General features: G+C 38.0%; 1 protein-coding gene across 8 annotated transcripts in view, besides 1 other annotated feature; it reads left to right on the top strand.

Moving 5' to 3' along the window:
* Positions 1-23,106, top strand: part of ATR (ATR checkpoint kinase) — a 129,499-nt gene that overhangs the window by 88,397 nt on the left and 17,996 nt on the right. For 6 of the 8 annotated variants that reach the window (NM_001354579.2, XM_011512925.2, NM_001184.4 and 3 more), the window contains 4 exons: positions 5,055-5,197; positions 20,154-20,251; positions 20,768-21,000; positions 22,269-22,403. In NM_001354579.2, the coding sequence (NP_001341508.1) occupies positions 5,055-5,197; positions 20,154-20,251; positions 20,768-21,000; positions 22,269-22,403 (609 nt within the window). Of the gene's footprint in view, positions 1-5,054; positions 5,198-15,671; positions 15,771-20,153; positions 20,252-20,767; positions 21,001-22,268; positions 22,404-23,106 lie in introns of those variants that run through there. The other 2 variants (XM_047448363.1, XM_047448362.1) reach the window with 2 other exon arrangements.
* Positions 4,304-5,503: an enhancer, noted in NCBI's record as "BRD4-independent group 4 enhancer chr3:142203676-142204875 (GRCh37/hg19 assembly coordinates)". NCBI's record gives its function as "activates an origin of replication core promoter dependent on BRD2, P300/CBP, MED14 and CDK7 cofactors, and independent of BRD4, by STARR-seq in HCT116 cells {active_cell/tissue: HCT116}" and the evidence as "EXISTENCE:reporter gene assay evidence [ECO:0000049][PMID:35650434]".

The raw sequence follows: 23,106 nt of genomic DNA, 5'->3' as shown, positions 1-23,106 counted from the left end.
GGCCTGTAATCCCGGTGCTTTGGGAGGCCGAGGCCTGAGGATCACTTGAAGCTAGGAGTTCAAAACCAGCCTGGGCAATATAGTGAGAACCTGTCTCTGCAAAAATAAAAATTAGCCAGGTATGGTGACGAATGCCTATAGTTTTAGCTATTCGGGAGGCTAAAGCAGGAGGATCACTTGAGCCTAGGAGTTCAAGGTTACAGTTAGCTATGATTGCACCACTGCATTCCAGCCTGAGTTACAGAGTGAAACTTTGTCTATTAAAAGAAAAAAAATACAGATCTGCAAAAGTCTTGGATAGACACTTCATAAAGAATACACGCAAATGGCCAAAAAGCAAATGAAAAGATGCTTAACATCATTAGTCATTAGGAAGATGCAAATTAAAACCACAATGAAATAACACATTACACACTAAAATGGCTAAAGTCTGAAAGACTAGCAATACCTATTAATGCAATAAATGCACCTGGTGGGGACTATAAAAAGTTAAATCTACCATATTCCATTCCATTCTTAGGTGTTTATCCAACAGAAACAATTACATATGTCAATAAAAAGACTTGTACACAAATGTTTATAGTAGGTTTAGTCACAAAAACTGGAAATAGGCCAGCTGGCCATCCAGAGAAGAATGGGTAAACAAACTGGTACAGTTGTATAATGGAATACTACCCTACAGTAAGAAGAAATGAACTACTGATACACGCAACAAGGTAGATTAATGTCATAGATATGCTGAATGAAAGAAGAGGGACATAAAAGACTATATGCTTATATGATTTCATTTATGTGACATTTTAGAACAGGTATAATTAATGTATATGCATAGAAATTATATCAGTATTTGCCTGGGTAGTTGGCAGGAGAGTGACGGCAAGGGTGGGCGCCCATAAGAACTTTCGAGAGTTAGGAATGTTCATCTTCTTGACTGGAATGATGGTTCCATGGGTGTATATGTCTTAAGAAAGTTGATTTAAAATTTTACTTTATTTTATTTTTGAGACAGGGTCTTGGTCTGTCAACCCAGGCTGGAGTATAGTGGCATGATTACAGCTCACTGCAGCCTCAACCTCCTGGGCTCAAGTGATCCTCCCACCTCAGCCTCTCAAGTAGCTGGGACTACAGGCACATGCCACCACACCCAGCTAATTTTTTATTTTGTGGAGATAGGGTCTTGCTGTTCTGCCAAGGCTGGTCTCAAACTCCCTGGCCTCTACTGATCCTCCCACCTCTGCCTCCCAAAGTGCTGGGATTATAGTTGTGAGCCACCATGTATGCCCAGCCTAAAATTTTTAAAGATATCATTTAGGATAGCAATAAAAATGATGAAATGCCTAGGATTAAATTGCACACAAGACCTCTCCACAAAATAAAAATTAAAACATTAAAATTGAGTGAAGTAAAAAAGAACTAAATAAATTGGTAGCTAGAATACATGTATGAATGGGAAGACTCAATAATATAATTATTTCTCTACAAACTGACCTAGAGGTTTAATGCATTACTCATCAAATGCTAACAGGTAATTGACAATTAGAATTTAAAACTTATGTGGAAACATAAAGGCCAAGAATAACCAAGAAGCTTCTCTGTCACCTTTCATTTTTTCAGTTTTAATTTGAAATAATCTTTGACTTCTAAAAAGTTAGTAGTAGTATAGGGAATTTCCATATCTACCCTTTACCGTGTTTCCACTAATTTTAATATCTTACACTACCAGAGTATCAGAAGTGGGAAATTAATATTGATAAACAATACTGTTAACTATCTGTAGACCACATTTCACCAGTTTTCCCAATAGTGTTCTTCTTCTGTCTAGAATTAAGGATTCCATATAGCATTAGTTGTCATATCTCCTTAGTGACCTCCAATCTATCTGAGATGCTCTTTACTGTATCGTGTGAGGTCAGGTGCAGGGAGAAAATAGTTGGCCCAATCAAAAGAGGTAATTGGGGAGAGTTTAATGAAAAACTAGATTAAGGGAAATTAACAAAGGATGGTGAAAGTACCCCATGGCTAGCAACAACAGAGAGTCGTTGCTAACTCTAGACCTGAAGGAGCAAAAGGATAGGGCATTTACTGGAACCTGTACAGGGAGCTAAATTTGTAGGAAAGGACCATTGGACCAGAACTTAACCTTAGGGAAAGAAACACCACCACTGTCAACTGCAGCCCAGCAGGAAGGAAACGAGCAGGTATAAAGACCTTAACCTCACTCTCCCCCTCACCCTCTAATCTATTGCTACCTTCCATTGATTGAACTTCACAGGAAGCCAGAGGGCAAACAGGCCCATTGATATAAATCATCAATTTCAGTTTGCTGGGGCACTGAGCAGAGTGGAAAAGGCTAAAGTTGGCAAGTGTATCTATCTGGAGGGGCAAACTGTGAATAACCAAAATAGTCTTTTCAATAAATGTTGTTGTATCACTTGGGTATCTTATAGGAAAACAAAAAATCAAACTTGATCCCTTCTTCCCACCATAAACAAAAGTAAACTTGAGGTAGATTGTTAATCTAGGTCAGGACTTCTTAAACATAACAAAAACACTAACCCTAAAATAAACAATAACTTCTGTTTATCAGAAGATACCATTGTGAGTTAGAGGCAACCTACAGATTAGAAGATATTTGCAATACATTAGAGGCTCATATCTGGAATATGACCCAGCATGTCCCCAGAGGATAAACACAAGAATGTTTATAACATTATTATTTGTAGATTTTATATTGGAAGTAATCCAAATGGCAATCAGTTATAGAATGGATAAATATGTTGTAGCATATTCTTATAATGGAATACTATATAGTAAACCAAATTTATATGCAATAACTTGGATTGATATCACAAATGTAATGTTGAATGAAATAAGCCAGATAAAAAATATAATACACGTAGGGCTGGGCATGGTGGCTCATGCCTATAATCCCAGCACTTTGGGAGGCTGAGGCAGGCGGATTGCTTGAGCTGAGGAGTTCAAGGCCAGCCTAGGAAACATAGCAAATCTCCGTCTCTACAAAAAATACAAAAATTAGCTGGGTGTGGTGGTACATGCCTCTAGTCCCAGCTGCTCCGTAGGCTGAGGAGGGAGGATTGCCTTGAGCCTAGGAGTTGTGGCTGCAGGGAGTCATGAGCATGCCACTGCACACCAGCCAGGACAACAGGGCAAAACCTTGTCTCTAATAATAATATGTATTTTTTTGGAGATGGTGTCTCGCTCTGTCGCTCAGGCTGGAGTGCAGTTGCGCGATCTTGGCTCATTGCAAGCTCCGCCTCCCAGGTTCAGGCCAGTCTCCTGCCTCCGCCTCCCGAGTAGCTGGGACTACAGGCGCCTGCCACCGCCCGGCTAATTGTTTTTTTTTTTTTTTTTTTTTTGTATTTTTAGTAGAGACCAGGTTTCACCGTGTTAGCCAGGATGGTCTCAATCTCCTGACCTCGTGATCCGCCCACCTGGGCCTCCCAAAGTGCTGGGATTACAAGCATAAGCCATCTTGCCCAGCCAATAATAATAATTATTATAGTATGATTCTATTTATATAAAAGTTCAAAAACAGACAAAAAACTCCTGGAGTTCTTGTATGAGGATGATAAATTTGTAATAATTGATCAAGTTGTATACATAAGATTCATATATGTTTCTGTATATAAACTTTATTTTTCAAAATAAAACTTAAAAATCTTAACTAAAAAGGGAGCGAGAGAGAAGAGAGGGAGGAAGGAGATTTTATATAAAGGTAATTACTTTGTGATAATTGATCAAGCTGTAAATGTAATATTAGTGTATTTTTCAGTATGTGAATTTTACTTTTCAAAATAAATATTTAAAATCTAAGCTGAAATGAGAGAGGGAGGAGGAAGGAAGTTAGGGAAGGAGGAAGAAAGGAAGGCAGGAAGACAGGCAGGAAAGAAGAAAGGAAGGAAAGACTAGATTGACTAATATGTTTTTCTGGCAGCCCTTACCCTGTGTGGCTGATTAGGTACATGAACCTAGCATGTGCCACACGTCTAATCATATCATTCTGTCCTCTATTCCCAGGCAGGTTTGTGTCTGTAGAGTCTCAAGATTAGAGTCAGTAGAAACTCAAGATCTCACTTAAGGTTTCTGGTCTAAACTGTTCTCAAACTTCTTTAGATGAAAAGTGGAACTTCAATTAAAAAAAAAATTGTCAGTGATCCTGTGTATTTCCCATCACATTTCATGTAATATTAAAAATTAATAAACCACACAAATATTTAAGGCAGGAACAGCAAAAAGAAATGACAAAGGAGACTAAGTGAGAGTGGCCAGAAAGAGAGGAGAAAACTTGGAAGATGGTGGCCTCACAGAAGTCAAGGGATGAAAGCATTTGAAATAAGTGACTTGGACAACAGAAACATATTGAAGAGAGTTCAAATGAGATCAGAGTTGTAAAATATCTCTTGGATTTAAGGAGCTCCTTAGTGGAGTGGTGAAGACTGAAGCTGAAAAGACATAGTTTTAGGAATCAATGTGAGGTAGAGAATCCTTTTTAGAAGCCTGCTTCTGAAGGAATTGAGAGAAAGGGCAATAACTTGTGAGAGATCTTGGAGAAAAACAAAATATGTGATTTTTATTTTACCAAAATTTTTATGCTTTTTAAAGTCCTACACTCTTTAGAGACTTGATATTACTTCTGCTTTGAAGATTTTTAAAAATGCCTTTCATGATATATGTGTATATACACACACACACATATCATATATATGTATAAAAAAATTTAACCCATCCAGACACTACTTTGATGTATCTTTTAAAGTGGTGACATAAATGGAGTTTTCTCCTAAGTTGCGAATTCTTCCAGCACTATTTCATGTTGGGCAGTGGGCAACCCACCAGAACAAATCAGCCCTCCTGAGAAAACCTTTACAAGAAGTTAGCTATTCCTTTTCCACATCAAAGATTGAGTCTGCTTTTGACTTTGCTCTGCCTAGATAAAGGTCACATACTTTTGATCCCTAATCATCTATTCATATTTTACTTCCCAGCATAGCGTGGGATTTCCTTAGGTAGGTATCCTATGTTCTTTTTTATAGGATGTGACCGCGTGCCTGCCAGAATGGGAGGATGGGCATTTTTACCTTGCCAAGTACTATGACAAATTGATGCCCATGGTCACAGACAACAAAATGGAAAAGCAAGGTGATCTCATCCGGTATATAGTTCTTCATTTTGGCAGGTGAGTATGAGAACTGCATGTTTGCAGATTAAATATGTAAGGATGACTATTAATATTGAAACTGTTATCACATGTCTTAGCATATTCTAGGTATTTTCTGGCTTATGACTGATTCAGTGTATCACCTTAGATAAGATGTAAATTTTTCCTTTATGCAACTTTTTTCTTCACTTTAAAAACTTTTTAAATGAAAAAAGTGATATAGACATGTGTTTTGGAAACTCTCTCTAACTATGTTATTCCTCTGCTCTCACACCAACACAGCAATCATCAACACAGTAGAAGACTTACATGACCAAAGATGTGGGTTTTTTTCCCCATACACCAAGCAGTGGACACCAGCTTGGTGTCCTCCAATTCTGTTCTGACACTCTCTACCTGGAGACGGTGTCATACCTCAGAGGTTGAGGGCTTGGTGACACAAGACCATCTCCTCCTTCCCTTAGTTGCAAGTCTGGGCCTCTGGAACTTCTGACCAACTGGCTTCAAGTTGGGGTTCTCACAACCTCCTCTTGGGTTCAATAAATTTGCTAGAGTGGCTCACAGAACTCAGGGAAACATTTTTACTAGTTTATTAAGAAAGATATTTTAAAGGATGCAAATAAACAGTCTGATGAAGAGATAGGTAGGGTGAGGTCTGGAGGGGTCCGGCACAGGAGCTTCTGTCTCCATGGAGATGGGCTGTGCCATCCTCCTGGCACGTGGATGAGGTCTTCTTCACCCTCCTGTCAGCCTCCACGTGTTCACCTCTCTGGAAGCTCTCCAAACTCTGTCCTGTGGGGTTTTTAATGGAGTCTTTATTACATGGGCATGATTGACAACCATGTAGAAATGTGAGTGGACAAATAGCTCATAATGTAAACCCAGCAAGGTCTGTCTGTTCAGACTTTTCTTGGCCTTTTCTATGTAGCATTCCTTCCTCTAGGATATGGGGCAGGATCCTCTCTGGGATGAGGATCTTTTGACTCACAGTCAGATTAGAATCCTCCCTTAGGCAGATGAGTGAAGGACAGGAGAAGCTCATAGAGAGAGATTCTGTTTCCTGAGGCCTAAAGTGCCCTGACATTAAAACGAGGAGTTAGGAGCCAGTAACTGTGAACTAAAACCAATATATGTATTATAATTCCACAGCCTGGATTTTTAAAAAAATTCAACAGCACCAAATTAAGTATCCTTCTCATTCCAGACCCTCATCCCCTGAGTCCCCAACCATAGAATTCCAGAAGACCCTTAATGTCATATTTCGTGGTTATATATATATATATTTTATTTTATTTTATTTCATTTTATTTTATTTTATTTATTTTAAGACAGAGTCTTGCTCTGTCGCCCAGGCTGGAGTGCAATGGCACGATCTCAGCTCACTGCAACCTCTGCTTCCAGGTTCAAGCGACTCTGGCTCACCCTTCTGAGTAGCTGGTATTACAGGCGTGTGCCACCACACCCAGTTAATTTTTGTATTTTTAGTATAGACGGGGTTTCACCATGTTGGTCAGGCTGGTCTCGAACTCCTGACCTCGTGATCCACCCACCACGGCCTCCCAAAGTGCTGGGATTATAGATGTGAGCCACTCCACTCAGCCTTTGTGGTTATATTTTATTGCAATGGAGTACTTCCTTCTAGCCCATTCCAATAAGAAGTGGTATAATATATATACATGAAAATGATTTTGACATTAGACTTGTAGAAAGTACTTATTCTTAAACTAGTTAATAGGTGAAATATAACTTTTAATTTCATATATCGGTGTATTATAGTCAAGTATAATCTCAGGCCTACTGTTTATGTTTTTATAAATTATTAATTGCTAAGAAACAATATCATTCCATACATTCTCCTTATCATACTCATGTACCATTGCTTTACATGGAAGGATATCTTCAGATCAATATATCTGTTAAAATTGCCTATTATGAGGTACTATGACTTCTCAGTTAAATATTTTCAGAAATTAAAGCAATATCTGTAAGCCACGGGTGGTGGTGTGTGCCTGTAGTCCTAGCTACTTTGGAGGTTGAGGTGGGAGGATTACCTGAACCTGGGACGTCAAGGCAGTGGTGAGCTGTGATTGCACCACTGCACAGCAGCCTGGATAACAGAGCAAGACCCTGTCTCAAAAAAAAAAAAAGAAAGAAAGAAAAAAAAAAAAGAAAGAAAGGGGGCATATGTTCTCAGGATCTCCTGAGGGCTGTGTCACACGAGAAAAAAAATGGAAAAAAAAAGCAATATTTGTTCATCATCAATGGTATTAGGGTAGCAAAATGAGTAAAGGTACTAAAGGCAGTTCTTCTTTTTTTTTTTTTTTAATTGACAAAGTATCACTCTGTCACTGAGGCAGGAGTGCAGTACAATCATAGCTAACTATGACCTTGAACTCTGGGCTCAAGTGATCCTCCTGCCTCAGCCTCCTTAGTAGTTAGGACTATAGGCACATGCCACCATGCCCAACTATGTTTTTAAATAATTTTTTGTAGAGACAGGGTCTCACTATGTTGCTCAGGCTGATCTTGAGCTCCTGGCCTCAAGCAATCTTCCCACCTCAGCCTCCCAACGCTCTGAGATTACAGGTGTGAGCCATCACTCTTGGCCCAGTTCTTTTGAAAAATGAGTAATAGCTTCTTTTGTTTGCTCTTTAGTCTTAGTATATATCATGTGCCTTGGGATATAGAATTTACTTAACACATTTCTTTTAAAACAAGTGGCTATATAAAGTCCTCTATATGCATAAAACTGTTATGTATAGTGAGTATTTTTAAAGTACCCTTCAGGAATGTAAGTACATTTTAAAACCTGTTTCTATCCATAGTAGTTAAAATAAAATATTTGTATGCTTAAGGGAGTAAACTTAGCTATTGAGACATATTTATCCCCTGACTGAATAATTGTGTTATTACTGATTAAATATCAATGTTTGCCCTTAAGAATCTAGGATCCAATTAGGGTTAGAAACCTTAAGTACATAAAACATTTAAATAATGGTACATAATAGAATGTGTGATTAGATATCAAAATAGGCTGGGCTCAGTGGCTCATGTCTGTAACCTCAGAATTTTGGGAGGCTGAGGCAGGCAGATTGCTTGAGCCCATGAGTTCAAAACCAGCCAGAGCAACATGGTAAGAACCCATCTCTACCAAAAAAAATACAAAAATTATCCAGGCATGGTGGTGCACACCTGTGGTCCCAGCTACAAGGGAAGCTAAGCCAAGAGGATTGCTTGAGCCCAGGAGGTGGAGATTGCGGAGAGCTATGATCATGCCACTGCACTCCTGCCTGGGTGACAGAGAAAGACTCTATCTCAAAAAAAAAATAAATAAATAAATCAAAATAAATGTAGTAAATATCAGATATGGCTGGGCACGGTGATTAATGCCTGTAATCCCAGAATTTTGGGATGCTGAAATGGAAGGATTGCTTGAGCCCAGGAGTTCAAGAAAAGCCTAGGGAACATGGCAAGACCTCATCTCTACAAAAAATAAATAAATCAGCCAGGCATAGGGTGTACAACCATGGTCCCAGCTATGTGGGAGGCTATATTAGCCAGATACCAAAAGTGAACCAAACAAGTCCAGAAGTCATGGAGGTCAAAAGTCAAGCCACAAGCCACTGGCTTTATGATTTCAAAAGTGTACTTCTTTGCATTGAATTGCTACAAAAGTCTGGTAAACCTCATGAAGAAGGTATACTAGTAATCCAAATTCAACAGCACATTAAAAGGATCATTCACCATGACCAAGTGGAATTTACTCCAGAATGCAAGGATGGTTCAACATATCCAAATACATATATTTGATATACCACATTAATAGAATGAAGGACAAAAACCATATGATCATCTCATCTCAATAGATGCAGAGAAAGCACTTGACAAAATTCAACATCCTTTTATGACTAAAAAGTTTCAGAGGGGCGGTTCCAAGATGGCCGAATAGGAACAGCTCCAGTCTACAGCTCCCAGCATGAGCAGCGCAGAAGATGGGTGATTTCTGCATTTCCAACTGAGGTACCGGGTTCATCTCACTGGGGCTTGTCAGACAGTGGGTGCAGGACAGTGGGTGCAGCGCACCGAGCATGAGCCGAAGCAGGGCAAGGCATTGCCTCACCTGGGAAGTGCAAGGGGTCAGGGAATTCCTTTTCATAGCCAAGCAAAGCTGTGACAGATGGCACCTGGAAAATCAGGTCACTCCCACCCTAATACTGCGCTTTTCCAATGGTCTTAGCAAACAGCACACCAGGAGATTATATCCCGTGCATGGCTCTGAAGGTCCCATGCCCACGGAGCCTCTCTCATTGCTAGCATAGCAGTCTGAGATCGAACTGCAAGGCGGCAGCAAGGCTGGGGGAGGAGTGCCCGCCATTGCTGAGGCTTGAGTAGGTAAACAAAGTGGCTGGAAAGCTGGAACTGGGTGGAGCCCACTGCAGCTCAAGGAGGCCTGCCTGCCTCTGTAGACTCCACCTCTGGGGGCAGGGCATAGCTGAACAAAAGGCAGCAGAAACCTCTGCAGACTTAAATGTCCCTGTCTGACAGCTTTGAAGAGAGTAGTGCTTCTCCCAGCACGGAGTTTGAGATCTGAGCACTGACAGACTGCCTCCTCAAGTGGGACCCTGACACCTGAGTAGCCTAACTGGGAGGCATCCCCCAGTAGGGGCAGACTGACACCTCACACGGCCGGGTACCCCTTTGAGACGAAACCTCCAGAGGAACAATCAGACAGCAACATTTGCTGTTCAGCAATATTTGCTGTTCTGCAGCCTCCGCTGCTGATACCCAGGCAAACAGAGTCTGGAGTGGATCTCCAGCAAACTCCAACAGACCTGTAGCTGAGGGTCCTGACTGTTAAAAGGAAAACTAACAAACAGAAAGGGCATCCACACCAAAACCGCATCTGTACGTCACTATCATCAAAGACCAAAGGTAGATAAAACCACAAAGATGGGGAAAAAACAGAACAGAAAAACTGAAAATTCTAAAAATCAGAGGGCCTCTCCTCCTCCAAAGGAACGCAGCTCCTCACCAGCAACGGAACAAAGCTGGACAGAGAATGACTTTGACGAGTTGAGAGAAGAAGGCTTCAGATGATCAAACTTCTCCGAGCTAAAGGAGGAAGTTGGAACCCATGGCAAAGAAGTTAAAAACCTTGAAAAAAGATTAGACGAATGGCTGACTAGAATAACCAATGCAGAGAAATCCTTAAAGGACCTGATGGAGCTGAAATCCACGGCACAGGAACTACGTGACGAATGCACAAGCTTCAGTAGCCGATTCGATCAACTGGAAGAAAGGGTATCAGTGATTGAAGATCAAATGAATGAAATGAAGCGAGAAGAGAAGTTTAGAGAAAAAAGAATAAAAAGAAACGAACAAAGCCTCCAAGAAATATGGGACTATGTGAAAAGACCAAATCTATGTCTGATTGGTGTACCTGAAAGTGATGGGGAAATGGAAACAAGTTGGAAAACACTCTGCAGGATATAATCCAGGAGAACTTCCCCAACCTAGCAAGGCAGGCCAACATTCAAATTCAGGAAATACAGAGAACGCCACAAAGATACTCCTCGAGAAGAGCAACTCCAAGACACATAATTGTCAGATTCACCAAAGTTGAAATGAAGGAACGAACGTTAAGGGCAGCCAGAGAGAAAGGTCGGGTTACCCACAAAGGGAACCCCATCAGACTAACAGCTGATCTCTCGGCAGAAATTCTACAAGCCAGAAGAGAGTGGGGGCCAATATTCAAAATTCTTAAGGAAAAGAATTTTCAACCCAGAATTTCATATCCAGCCAAACTAAGCTTCAAAAGTGAAGGAGAAATAAAATCCTTTACAGACAAGCAAATGCTGAGAGATTTTGTCACCACCAGGCCTGTCCTAAAAGAGCTCCTGAAGGAAGCACTAAACATGGAAAGGAACAATCGGTACCAGCCACTGCAGAAACATGCCAAATTGTAAAGACCATCGATGCTAGGAAGAAACTGCATCAACTAACGAGCAAAATAACCAGCTAACATCATACTGAGAGGATCAAATTCACACATAACAATATTAACCTTAAATGTAAATGGGCTAAATGCTCCAGTTAAAAGACACAGACTGGCAAATTGGATAGAGTCAAGACCCATCAGTGTGCTGTATTCAGGAGACCCATCTCACGTGCAGAGACACACATAGGCTCAAAATAAAAGGATGGAGGAAGATCTACCAAGCAAATGGAAAACAAAAAAAGGCAGGGGTTGAAATCCTAGTCTCTGATAAAACAGACTTTAAACCAACAAAGATCAAAAGAGACAAAGAAGGCCATTACATAATGGTAAAGGGATCAATTCAACAAGAAGAGCTAACTATCCTAAATATATATGCACCCAATACAGGAGCACCCAGATTCATAAAGCAAGTCCAAGAGACCCACAAAGAGACTTAGACTCGCACACAATAATAATGGGAGACTTTAACACCCCACTGTCAACATTAGACAGATCAACGAGACAGAAGGTTAACAAGAATATCCAGGAATTGAATTCAGCTCTGCCCCAAGCAGACCTAATAGACATCTACAGAACTCTCCACCCCAAATCAACAGAATATACATTCTTCTCAGCACCACACCACACCTATTCCAAAACTGACCACATAGTTGGAAGTAAAGCACTCCTCAGCAAATGTAAAAGAACAGAAATTATAACAAACTGTCTCTCAGACCACAGTGCAATCAAACTAGAACCCAGGATTAAGAAACTCAATCAAAACTGCTCAACTGCATGGGAACTGAACAACCTGCTCCTGAATGACTACTGGGTACATAACGAAATGAAGGCAGAAATAAAGATATTCTTTGAAACCAACGAGAACAAAGACGCAACATACCAGAATCTCTGGGACACATTTAAAGCAGTGTGTAGAGGGAAATTTATAGCACTAAATGCCCACAAGAGAAAGCAGGAAAGATTTAAAATTGACACCCTAACATCACAATTAAAAGAACTAGAAAAGCAAGAGCAAACACATTCAAAAGCTGGCAGAAGGCAAGAAATAACTTAGGTCAGAGCAGAGCTGAAGGAGATGGAGACACAAAAAACCCTTCACAAAATCAATGAATCCAGGAGCTGGTTTTTGGAAAAGATCAACAAAATTGATAGACTGCTAGCTAGACTAATAAAGAAGAAAAGAGAGAAGAATCAAATAGATGCAATAAAAAATGTTAAAGGGGATATCACCGATCCCACAGAAATACAAACTACCATCAGAGAATACTATAAACACCTCTATGCAAATAAGCTAGAAAATCTAGAAGAAATGGATAAATTCCTGGACACATACACCCTCCCAAGACTAAACCAGGAAGAAGTTGAATCTCTTAATGGACCAATAACAGGCTCTGAAATTGAGGCAATAATTAATAGCTTACCAACCAAAAAAAGTCCAGGACCAGATGGATTCACAGCCGAATTCTACCAGAGGTACAAGGAGGAACTGGTACCATTCATTCTGAAACTATTTCAATCAATAGAGAAAGAGGGAGTCCTCCCTAACTCATTTTATGAGGCCAGCATCATCCTGATACCAAAGCCTGGCAGAGACACAACAAAAAAAGAGAATTTTAAACCAATATCCCTGATGAACATTGATGCAAAAATCCTCAATAAAATACTGGCAAACCGAATCCAGCAGCACATCAAAAAGCTTATCCACCATGATGAAGTGGGCTTCATCCCTGGGATGTAAGGCTGGTTCAACATACACAAATCAACAAATGTAATCCATCCTATAAACAGAAGCAAAGACAAAAACCACATGATTATGTCAATAGATGCAGAAAAGGCCTTTGACAAAATTCAACAGCCCTTCATGCTAAAAACTCTCAATAAATTAGGTATTGATGGGACATATCTAAAAATAATAAGAGCTATTTATGACAGACTCACAGCCAATATACTGAATGGGCAAAAACTGGAAGCATTCCTTTTGAAAACTGGCATAAGACAGGGATGCCCTCTCTCACCACTCCTATTCAACATAGTGTTGGAAGTTCTGGCCAGGGCAATCAGGCAGGAGAAAGAAATAAAGGGCATTCAACTAGGAAAAGAGGAAGTCAAATTGTCCCTGTTTGCAGACGACATGATTGTATATCTAGAAAACCCCATCATCTCAGCCCCAAATTTCTTTAAGCTGATAAGCAACTTCACCAAAGTCTCAGGATACAAAATCAATGTGCAAAAATCACAAGCATACTTATACACCAATAACAGACAAACAGAGACCCAAATCATGAGTGAACTCCTATTCACAATTGCTTCAAAGAGAATAAAATACCCAGGAATCCAACTTACAAGGGATGTGAAGGACCTCTTCAAGGAGAACTACAAACCATTGCTCAAGGAAATAAAAGAGGACACAAACAAATGGAAGAACATTCCATGCTCATGGATAGGAAGAATCAATATCGTGAAAATGGCCATACTGCCCAAGGTAATTTATAGATTCAATGCCATCCCCATCAAGCTACCAATGACTTTCTTCACAGAATTGGAAAAAACTACTTTAAAGTTCATATGAAACCAAAAAAGAGCCTGCATTGCCAAGTCAATCCTAAGCCAAAAGAACAAAGCTGGAGGCATCACGCTACCTGACTTCAAGCTATACTACAAGGCTACAGTAACCAAAACAGCATGGTACTGGTACCAAAACAGAGATATAGACCAATGGAACAGAACAGAGCCCTCAGAAATAATGCCACACATCTACAACTATCTGATCTTCGACCACCCTGACAAAAACAAGAAATGGGGAAAGGATTCCCTATTTAACAAATGATGCTGGGAAAACTGGCTAGCTGTATGTAGAAAGCTGAAACTGGATCCTTCCTTACACCTTATACGAAAATTAATTCAAGATGGATTAAAGACTTAAATGTCAGACCTAAAACCGTAAAAACCCTAGAAGAAAACCTAGGCAATACCATTTGGGACATAGGCATGGGCAAGGACTTCATGTCTAAAACACCAAAAGCAATGGCAACAAAAGCCAAAATTGACAAATGGGGTCTAATTAAACTAAAGAGCTTCTGCACAGCAAAAGAAACTACCATCAGAGTGAACAGGCAACTTACAGAATGGGAGAAAATTTTTGCAATCTACTCATCTGACGAAGGGCTAATATCCAGAATCTACAAAGAACTCAAACAAATTTACAAGAAAAAAACAACCCCATCAAAAAGTGGGCGAAGGATATAACAGACACTTCTCAAAAGAAGACATTTATGCAGCCAACAGACACATGAAAAAAATGCTCATCATCACTGGCCATCAGAGAAATGCAAATCAAAACCACAATGAGATACCATCTCACACCAGTTAGAATGGCGATCATTAAAAAGTCAGGAAACAACAGGTGCTGGAGAGGATGTGGAGAAATAGGAACACGTTTACACTGTTGTTGGGACTGTAAACTAGTTCAACCATTGTGGAAGTCATTGTGGCGGTTCCTCGGGGATCTAGAACTAGAAATACCATTTGACCTAGCCATCCCATTACTGGGTATATACCCAAAGGAATATAAATCATGCTGCTATAAAGACACATGCACATGTATGTTTATTGCGGCACTATTCACAATAGCAAAGACTTGGAACCAACCCAAATGTCCAACAATGATAGACTGGATTAAGAAAATGTGGCACATATACCCCATGGAATACTATGCAGCCATAAAAAAGGATGAGTTCATGTCCTTTGTAGGGACATGGATGAAGCTGGAAACCATCATTCTCAGCAAACTATCGAAGGACAAAAAACCAAACACCGCATGTTCTCATTCATAGCTGGGAATTGAACAATGAGAACACTTGGACACAGGAAGGGGAACATCACACACTGGGGCCTGTTGTGGGGTGAGGGGCTGGGGGAGGGATAGCATTAGGAGATATACCTAATGTTAAATGACGAGTTAATGGGTGCAGCACACCAACATGGCACATGTATACATATCTAAAAACCTGCACGTTGTGCACATGTACTCTATAACTTAAAGTATAATTAAAAACATATATATATAAAACATAACATGTATATAAGTTGTAAAGCATAATAATAGAATGAACATCCATTAATCTAGTCTAACCTTTATGTCACCCCTCTATCCCTGGAGGCAACCACTATTCCCAATTTTGTGTTTTTCATTCCTTTGTTTTTTAAAATAAAAGAGGCTTTTTAAAAAAAAACAAACTTTTTTTAAAAAAAAAATATGTATAGAAGGAATGTACCTCAACACAGTAAAGACCATGTATGATAACCCCAAAGATAACATCATACTCAGTGGTGAAAAGTTCAAAGCTTTTCCTCTAAGATTAAGACAAAGATGCCCACTCTTGCCACTTATATTCAATATAGTACCAGGAATCCTAGCCATAGCAATTCGAGAAGAGAGATAAATAAAAGGCATCCAAATTGGAAAAGAAGTCATCAATTTTTTTCTATTTGCAGACGACATGATTTTATATACTGAAACCCTAAGACTCCAATAAAAGACTATTAGAACAAATAAATGAATTCAATAAAGTTGCAGGATATAAAGGCAACATACAAAAGTAAGTAGCATTTCTATACACTAATAACAGAGTACTTGCAGATAAATTAAGAAGACAATCTCATTTACAGTAGCTACAAAAATAAAATATAATACTTGGGAATAAATACAAGGCAAAAGACCTATACAATGAAAACTATAAAACATTGATGAAAAGAAATTGAAGAAGACATGAACAAATGGAAAGATATCCTGTTTATGTATTGGAAGAATTAATATTATTAAAATGTTCATAGTGCCCAAAGTGATCTACAGATTCAATGTAGTTTCTATCAGAATTCCAATAGCTTATTCTTTCTTTCCTTTTTTTTTTGTTTTGTTTTGTTTAAAAATTCTGGCTGGGCACAGTGGCTCACACCCATAATCCCAGCACTTTGGGAAACTGAGGCAGGTGGATCACTTGAGGTCAGGAGTTTGAGACCAGCCTGGCCAACATAGTGAAACCTAGTCTCTACTGAAAATACAAAAATTAGCCAGGCATGGTGGCACACATCTGTAATCCCAGCTACTAGGGAGGCTGAGGCAGGAAAATTGCTTGAACCCAGGAGGCGGAGGTTACAGTGAACCAAGATCGTGCCTCTGCACTCCAGACTGGGAGTCTCAAAAAAAAAAAAAAAAAAATCCAATAACTTTTTTCACAGAAGTAGAAAAAAAAATCCTAAAATTTGTATGGACCTAGAAAAGACCTCAGATAACCAAAGAAATCTTGAGCAAGAACAAAGCTGGCCGGGCGTGGTGGCTCACACCTGTAATCATAGCGAGGCTGAGGTGGGTGGATTGCCTGAGCTCAGGAGTTCAAGATCAGCCAGGGCAACACGGTGAAACCCCATCTCTACTAAAATACAGAAAATTAGCTGGGCATGGTGGCATGCACCTGTAATCCTAGCTACTCAGGAGGTTGAGGCAGGAGAGTTGCTGGAACCCGGGAGGTGGAGGTTACAGTGAGCCGAGATTGTGCCATTGCACTCCAGCCTGGGTGACAGACTGAGACTATGTCTCTAAAAAAAAAAAAAAAGAATAAAGCTGAAGGCATCACACTACCTGACTTCAAAATTATACCACAAAGCTATAATAATCAAAACAGTATGACATTAGTATTAAAATGGCTACATAGACCAGTGGAACAGAGACCCTAGAAATGAATCCACGCATTTACAGTCAATTGATCTTTGACAAAGGTGCCAAGAACCCACAATGCAGAAAGGACAGTCTCTTCAATAAATGGTGTTGGGACAACTGGATGTCCACATGCAATAGAATGGAATTACACTCTTACCTTACACCATATACAAAAATCAACTCAAAATGGCTTAAAAACTTAAATGTAAGACCTGAAGCTGTAAAACTACTAGAAGAAAACATAGAGGAAAAGGTTCATGGCATTGGTTTGGGCAATAATTTTTTTGGATATGAACCAAAAAGCACAGCCAACAAAAGCAAATATAGACAAATGATATTATACAAACCAAAAGACTTCTGCATAGCCAAGGAAACAATCAACAGAGTGAAAAGACAACCTATAGAATGGGAGAATGTATTTGCAAACCACACATCTGATAGGGGGTTAATAGCCAAAATAGGTAAGGAACTCAAACAACTTAATAGTAAGAAAGCAAATCACCTGGCCAGGCATGGTGGCTCATGCATGTAATCCCAGCACTTTGAGAGGCTCAGGCAGATGGATCGTTTGAGCCCAGGAGTTCAAGACCAGCCTGGGCAACATGGTGAAACCCCCATCTCTACAAAAAAATACAAAAATTATTCGGGCGTGGTGGTATGCACCTGCAGTCCCAGCTGCTCAGGAGGCTGAGGCAGGGGCATCACTTTAGCCTAGGAGGTGGAGGTTGCAGTGAGCCAGGATCATATCACTGCACTCCAGCCCAGGCAACAGAGCCAGATCCTGTCTGAAAAAATAAAAATAAAAATAGAAAAAAGGAAACAAATTACCCAATTAAAAAAAATGGGAAAAGGGTCTGAGCAGACATATTTCAAAAGAAGACATAAAAATGACCAACAGAGGTATATAAAAAAAGTTCGGCATCGTTAATCATCAGATAAATGCAAATTAAAACCACAATGAGATGTCACCTCACACTTGTTTGAATGGCTATCATATAAAAGACAAAAGATAACAAGCATTGGAGAGGATATGGGGAAAAGGGAACCCTTATACACTGTTGGTGGGAAGGTAAATTAGTAGAGCCATTATGGAAAACAGTATGGAGATTCCTTAAAAATTAAAAATAGAAATATCATATGATCTAGCAATCCCATTATGGGGTATATATCTAAAGGAAATTAAATCAATATGTTGAAGAGATATCTGCACTCCCATGTTCATTGCAGCATCTTCACAACAGCCAAGCTATGGAATCAAACTAAGTGTCCATCAACATGGGAATGAATAAAGAAAATGTGGCATATGTATGTATACTTATACACACACACACACACACACACACACACACACACACACAATGGAATACTATTCAGGCTTAAAAAAGAAGGAATCCTGTTATTTGTGCGAAGATGGATGAACCTGGAGATTATTCTAAGTGAAGTAAGCCTGGCACAGAAAGATTAATACTGAATTATCTTACTTATATGTAGAATCTAAAAATGTTGAACTCATAGAACTAGAGAGTAGAATGGTGATTACCAGGGGTTGGAGTAGTGAGGAGTTGGGGAGATGTTGGTCAAAGGACATAAAACTTCAGTTAAATAGAAGGAATAAGTTAAAGAGATCTACTCTACAACATGGTCACTATAGTTAACAAATGTTTTGTATTGAAAATTGCTGAGAATAGATTTTATTCCACAACAAAATAAATATGTGAAATAATTAGCATGCGTGAGTTAGCTTGGTTTAGCTCTTCCACAATGTATACATGTTTCAAAACATGTGCACAATAAATATACACAATTTTTATTTGTTGATTTAAATAAATAAATGAAATGTTTAAAAACAAAAACATTATGTTGTGCACCTTTAAAAAAACCTGCTAGCTCTCCTAATTTCTGGTTAAATTAATCTTGACAAAATAAGAAGGGGAAAAGAAAGTCCCCACTTCTTCTATAGTTGTAGAATGGTAAATGCAATTCTATGTCATTAAACTGTCTCTATGGGTCTCAAAAAGATATCTGTACATTCGTGTTCATAGCAACATTATTCATAATAGCTAAAACATGAAAGCAGTGCAAGAGTTCATTGGGAGATTAATTGATCAGCAAAATGTGATGTAGACACAATGGAATATTATTCTGCTTTAAAAAGGAAGGAAATTCTGACATATGGTACAACATAGATGAACCTCGAGGACATTATGCTAAGTGAAATAAGCCAGTCACAAAAAGGACAAATACTGTATGTTTCCACTTATATGAGGTACCTTCAATGGTCAAATTCATGAAGACAGAAAGTACAATGGTGGTTGCCAGAGACTGGGTGGGGAAGGAGACGGGAAGTTACTGTTTAATAGGTACGAGGTTCCAATTTGGGAAGATGAAAAAAGTTCTGGAGGGGGAATGGTGGTGATGATTACGCAACAATGTGAATGTACAACCATATTAATATAACACTGAACTGTACACTTAAAAATGGTTGTGATGGCAAATTTTATGTTATGTATGTTTTACCACAATAAAATTTCTTTTGAAAATAAACTGATGTCCAGGCCCCTAAAAAATTCAAGAAGGAGAGAACTTTAACTTTTCACAAATTTTACCAGAAACAGCGTTGAGTGGTTGGTTTGTAGGATGGTGCAGAAACTAGACCTGATGGAAGATGTATACTGGTGAGTGGCAAGATGCTAAGATTGGAAAATTATGGAGATAAAAGATTCTGAATGTTTGAATCCCAGGCAGAATCATTTATATAGTTTTAATATGTAGGTATTGATTCCTGTTTTTTAATAAGGGGAGAGCATGATAAAGCCAGAATTTCAGGAATGTTAGTCTGGAATTTACTGAAGGGTAGAAATATGGATTTAGGGTGACCAAGTTATTATAATTTCCCAGAAATAGAATGATTGGACCTAACCTAGGCTTATGGCCAAAGAATGCAAATGAAGGCACAGAGATCCTAAGGAAAAATTGAAAGAAGTATTGATAGACTTTGATTAGAGCAGAATTTGTATAATGTACAAATTCTGTATACTGTAAGTGGAAACATACAGTATGTACATGTTTTTGGTACAGGGAATGTAGAACTAAGTGAGCTAAAAAGGAGACAGAGGAGTCAAAAATAACTTCTAGGAAGAAATATTGATACCATAATTTTTGTGAAAACGGTATGTGGTAGTTTGAATCTTTAAATTTTAATTCGTATAATATAAAAATGACAGCTATGCTAATAGTGTTTCTTGTCTATATAATTGCAGATCTCTACAATATGGAAATCAGTTCATATATCAGTCAATGCCACGAATGTTAACTCTATGGCTTGATTATGGTACAAAGGCATATGAATGGGAAAAAGGTATAACTCTTCACGTAAAAGTTTTAAAGGACTAGGAATTATAACTTTGGTATAAAGTCAGATTTGGCTGGACAGTCTAATTTCCTAGAAGCTTGGAATGAATTTGATAATTAAGATATTATGTAAGTGTGAGTAAGATACTAAATGTTAAAAAGGAAAGACAAATCATAGACTTTTAAAGTAGTTTTAATTCAGGGCCACAAATACAAATCTGATTATTTCTTAATGAATCTAACACATATTAAAATGTGTTAGTTTTAGCCAAATAATTTACCCTAAAAATTAAAATGGATAGTGAAAATTAATGTCCCTTGGGTTTTTGAATGGCTCTAAATATTTTTTCTGGTTGGACAGAGACAACTATCTTTTCACAAATTGGCAAGTGACCTAACCTTGGGCATGGGAATAACATACTTTAAAGCTATTTTTAAAGCAAAATTTTTCTTCTGTGAAATGAACTGATATACTGATTTTTCTCTTTCCTTTATTGTTTTTTAAACTTATTTCTTCCCCCAGCTGGCCGCTCCGATCGTGTACAAATGAGGAATGATTTGGGTAAAATAAACAAGGTTATCACAGAGCATACAAACTATTTAGCTCCATATCAATTTTTGACTGCTTTTTCACAATTGATCTCTCGAATTTGTCATTCTCACGATGAAGTTTTTGTTGTCTTGATGGAAATAATAGCCAAAGTATTTCTAGCCTATCCTCAACAAGCAATGTGGATGATGACAGCTGTGTCAAAGGTAAAAGGGTCTTTTACCTTTTTATATGAAAAGATCTTTTACCATTTTATATGAACTTGATTATGTAATACTAATATGTAGATACAAGTTCCAGGGCGTCTCTCCTGTATTAGATTAGTAATTTTAAATATTTTTTTAAAGAGAGAAATTTATAGCATTATATCTTAATATTTGGATATATTTACCATATGAAATGAAGTAACTAGTATGTTTAAGATCAAATAATTCAGCATGTGTTTTCTTTATGAAGTCTAGTAAACAGTTAATGCTTGATGCAAAATGGTTACCTATGTTTTCACAAATATTTTAATCCAAACTACCTGAATTTTTATTTTTTTTCCCTTAAGAAACAGGATCTTTCTCTGTTGCCCAGGCTGGAATGCAGTGGTGGGATCATAGCTCAGTGCAGCCTCAAAGTCCTGGGTTCAAGTGATCCTCTTGCCTCAGCTTCCCAGTAGCTAGGATGATAGCGGTGTGTCACCATGTACAGTTAATTTTTAAATTCTTTTTGTAGAGATGGGATCTTGCTGTGTTGCTCAGGCTGGGCTCAAACTCTTGGGCTCAAGTGATCTTTCTGCTTTGGCCTCCCAAAGTGCTGGAATTACAGGCATGAGCTATCGTGCCCCGCCAGTACCTGAATTATTAATACTAAAAAACCGTTATTGCATCATTAATGGGAATTCATATGTTGGTCAATATATGTAATAAGTAAATGTTTAGAGAATTTAGACAATACAGAGACATAAAACAAAAATTAAAATTCACACCTTGGGCCATTCATTAATGTTTTGATGTAATTTTATTTGTATATTTTCTAGCATATTTTAACACTAAATTTAATTATGTTGCCGTACAATTTCATATTTTTCACTTTATTGTTTCCATGTTATTAAATATAATTTGAAGATATAATTTTAATATATAAAATTCTAAAAAATAGCCTTCAATAACTTATTTAACTGTTTAGTTAATCATTAAGGTTATTTCTATTTTTCTTGCAATTGTAACACATCTAGATATGTCTATGTTTATTCTCACTTGTAATTATTTCTCCAGGGCAGATCCCTATAACTTTATAATTCACAAAGTTATAGGGTGGCAATATTTGTATGGCTCTTGATAGCATTGCCAAATAAATTTTCAGAAAATTTGTATCATATAAACTCTCATCATGAATACTTTTTAAGTTTTTTGTCAAGCAAAAAATTTATCTTTTAAAAATCCTGTATAAACTCTTTTTTATGACATTTAACTCTTTTTTATGACAGTCATCTTATCCCATGCGTGTGAACAGATGCAAGGAAATCCTCAATAAAGCTATTCATATGAAAAAATCCTTAGAGAAGTTTGTTGGAGATGCAACTCGCCTAACAGATAAGCTTCTAGAATTGTGCAATAAACCGGTACTATCATAATCTTAGTGCTTATAAACTGATGTTGGGTAATTATGTATATAATTTGAGCAGATTTTTTCATTTGATTAATTAAATTAAAATTCTAACTATAGGTGTACACATATATCAAAATGTATATTTTAATTATGTATGATTTGTCTTAATAAAGCAGTTTTTAATATTTCTAATACATCTTACTTCCAAATACCCTCTAATATTTCTAAAAGTTCTTCTTAGTGTGAATTAAGAATTTTCCGAGAGTAGATATCCATGTTTCTCAGCAATTTTTAGTAGAGAATATGAAATAAGCCATAAAAATATAAGTATGTAAAATATTCTAAGTTACTTATGGTAGTCTATGATTATATCATATCTTTAAACTTTCAAAATTCATATACATTATTAAACTACACTTACGATAGGGAAGAGGGTTGGGGTTTTGCTTTTCATTCTTTTAGTACACATTTCAGTGCCTATGAGGGGACAAGCACTATGCTAAGGGAAACAAGATGAATAAAATCTATTCTCATGCCTGAGGTGCTTACAGTCTTTTAGGGAACTAAGCAGATGGTTATCTAGAGTAATAAGTACTTTTTTCGGTAGATTTGTGACTAAAGTAGGAACATGGTTACAGGAGTAACCCCATAATTCTACCTAAGTATTAGAGAAAAACCCCCAAGGATGTATAGGAAAGATAAAAGTGGGAGGTGGG

Source organism: Homo sapiens, chromosome 3 (assembly GCF_000001405.40).
Source record: "Homo sapiens chromosome 3, GRCh38.p14 Primary Assembly".
NCBI classification, from domain to species: Eukaryota; Metazoa; Chordata; class Mammalia; order Primates; family Hominidae; genus Homo; species Homo sapiens.
The sequence above is the reverse complement of the archived record's forward strand: the minus strand, read 5'-3'. Positions and strand labels throughout refer to the sequence as shown.